The sequence below is a fragment of the Homo sapiens genome, chromosome 7, assembly GCF_000001405.40.
Source record: "Homo sapiens chromosome 7, GRCh38.p14 Primary Assembly".
Taxonomy (NCBI): domain Eukaryota; kingdom Metazoa; phylum Chordata; class Mammalia; order Primates; family Hominidae; genus Homo; species Homo sapiens.
This window is the reverse complement of record NC_000007.14, coordinates 135,844,298-135,847,193: the sequence shown is the minus strand read 5'-3', so window position 1 is coordinate 135,847,193 and position 2,896 is coordinate 135,844,298. Positions and strand designations below refer to the sequence as shown.

At 44.1% G+C, this 2,896-nt stretch overlaps 1 annotated feature.

Annotated features, from left to right (window-relative positions):
• Window positions 501–653: a silencer, noted in NCBI's record as "fragment chr7:135531289-135531441 (GRCh37/hg19 assembly coordinates)". NCBI's record gives its function as "represses an EF-1alpha promoter that drives an FKBP-Casp9 reporter gene in an ReSE screen in K562 erythroleukemia cells {active_cell/tissue: K562}" and the evidence as "EXISTENCE:reporter gene assay evidence [ECO:0000049][PMID:32094911]".

Here is a 2,896-nt window from a genome sequence, read left to right as displayed (position 1 = left end):
TATGGTTTAAGGAGATGCGATGGATGCCAAGTTGACAAGGGGTGGACTTATGATGGTTAATTTTATGTGTCAGCTTGGCTGGGCCAACAGCGCCCAGATTAAACATTATTTCTAGGTGTGTCTGTGAGGGGGTTCCGGGATGAGGTTACTGTTTGAATGTGTGAACTCAATAAAGCAAATGGGCCTTCCCCACGGTGGGTGGGAGTCATCCAATCTGTTAAGGGCCAAAATAGGACAAAAGGCAGAGGAAAGAGAAATTTGCCCCTATTGCTTCCTGCCCACCTGCCTGAGCTGGGACATCCTTCTCCTGCCCTTGCACCAGGATGCACACCATCTGCCCCTTGGCTCTCAGGCCTAAGGTCTTAGACGGCATTACACCACTGGCTGTCCTGGGTCTCCAGCTTGCAGGTGGCAGATATAGGAATTCATAGTCTCCATAATCAAGCCAATTCACAATAAGTCTCATATATGCATATCCTCTTGTCTCTGCTTCTCATGAGAACCCTGGCTATTACAGTTAGTCATGCTATTCCTGTCACCAAACCCATGTGGTACCTTCAGGTGAGCTCACTCTCATGGGCTCCTTCTTCCTGTCCCCCAGTGGTGCCTCCCACTGGCCAAATCCACCCAGACGCCAGAGGGCAGGGAGCTCTTGGCTGTAGTTCCAGCAGGCCGGCCTCCTGAGCACAGCACAGGGGAAAAGAGCAGAGAGCGGCCCTGGAGGGACCCAAAGTAGACATCCTGGGGCCCCACCTTCTAAAGAGTTCTTCCTTTGGTGACTTGGCTCAAGAGCAATAAGTGAGGACGATGAGACAGGGGATCTGGCCTCAACTCCACATTCCGCTACCTTCTATCCATCCTTTCCATTGTCTGGGCCTCAATTTTCTCATTTGTAAAATGAAGAGGGGGAAAGTGGGTGCCTGTCACCACCTTGGGTGCCTAACTCACTCACCTCCTAGGCTCTTGGAGAGGGGTTCACTACCCAGCCAGCCATGACACAAGATCTCACATACCTGCACAGTGGTCTCTGAAGAAAAGACAGAAAGCCTCTCGACTCTCAGCGCAGACTGATTTCACAGATCCGAGCTGTAAGTTTCTACCCAGAAAGCTACCTGGTCTATTTCAGGATCCAGGTGAAAGTTGTCTTCCCTTAAAGTAGCATTTCTCCACATAGGGAATTAGCTCATAATGTCAATCATGGGCCCCACCACCACAGATTCTAATTCAAGATATCTGTTGTAGGAATTCCATGCAGGTTCTCCTTGTACCACACTTTGAAACCTACTGACTTAATGGACAATGGGTTGCATCATACACTTACATAATAGTGTAAGAATTTGTATGTTCATTTCCTCCTTAATGAAAACAAGCTATTATTCTGTAATGGTTATTTTTTAAAAACAATACTAAGAGTTTTGGACATTCAATCCAGTTAATGCACTGCAGCATAGAACTGCTTGCTAAGTAGTAAAATTGCTTTTCAAAACATGATCAAACATCAGTCTAATCAGCCAGGTGTTAGGCTCTCAATCACAAGCCTCAAAACACATAATCAAGTATCAGTAAGCAGGTGTTTTAAGTGAAGATTGAGATAAACAGTTGCCTTTGTGGTTACTGAGGAGGTTTTGCAACATTAAAATGGAGCACCTCGCACTCAAGCAAGCCAACTTCAGAAGCTTCTCAGCTGAACAAATCCGGGCAATAATTAGCACAGGACATTTTAAGCAGATCGCAGTTTAAAAGCTTTGAATCTTACTGAGGAAATCTGTTTTGTTTCCTTTATTCCCAACTGTCTTCAAGATTTTGCCCTGATAGATACTGACTCTGAAAAAAGTCACTAGACCACATTTCACTTTTTTCAGATGGAAGATTTTGATCCCTTTGAAGAAAATTGCGTTCAGATCATATACATACATTCAATATCACAATGCCAGGGTCCCACCCCACTGATCTTTCCAATGTGACAAGACTAGGACTGGGAGTTCTGAAGTAAAACCCAAGTTCCGCTTTAGAAATTACTTTTCACTCTCCCAAGTATTCAAAATGGCTTCTCAGTGGCCCAGTAAATAATACCACATAACTCCATGAAAAATCACTGAAAGATCGAGGGGACAACGTAAGGTGACCATCCTCAGCAGAAGTGCTCATTTTAAGAGTCAATATTAATAATGTAATAACAGAATCGGTCCAATGGGATTGAGCTCTATCAGTCACAAAATGTAACAAAATGAGGAGTTGCTTTCAGTTGCAGTGGACCTCCAGCTTTCAAGTCACATAACCTGAGCACACCCAGATGAACCAAGCCTGCCCAATTCGTGACCCTGTAGGTGGCCAGAGTGAAAACATCAACCACATATGGAACCTAAGAACTCAGATTGAAGAAGGAGGATCAAATTAAGAAGAGAAGGGCACCCTGTTTTGCTGCATTACAGACTTAAAAGGCAAGGACACCTCACCACCTCTTTGCATGGCCCAATCAGATCATGCCTCGTTGCATTTTCCTATGTCTCTGATTGTTATTCCCTGTGTGTAAAACCTGCTCTCAGGCCCCAGCTTGGGGAGACGAATTTAAGTGTTGCCTCCAATTTCCTTGCCAGTTGACCTTGCAATAAAGCTTTTTCTTTTCTCAAAAGCCTGTGCCATAGTATTGGCTTCTATGCACGTTAAGAGGAAAGCCCATGGCTCAGTAACAATAAGACTGGCCTGTCATTTAGGTTTATTCGAGTTCATCCACATGATTTATCTTAGCGAATGCTAAGAAGGGTTCCCTGCTTAAAACTGTAGCTCATAAATTTCTACTAATTTCCTTTGATTGTGAATAGCAGTTTAGTTTTGAGAAAATTTGGTTTTGGGGGGGTTTTTTGTTGTTTTTGTTTTTTTGAGATAGGGTCTCACT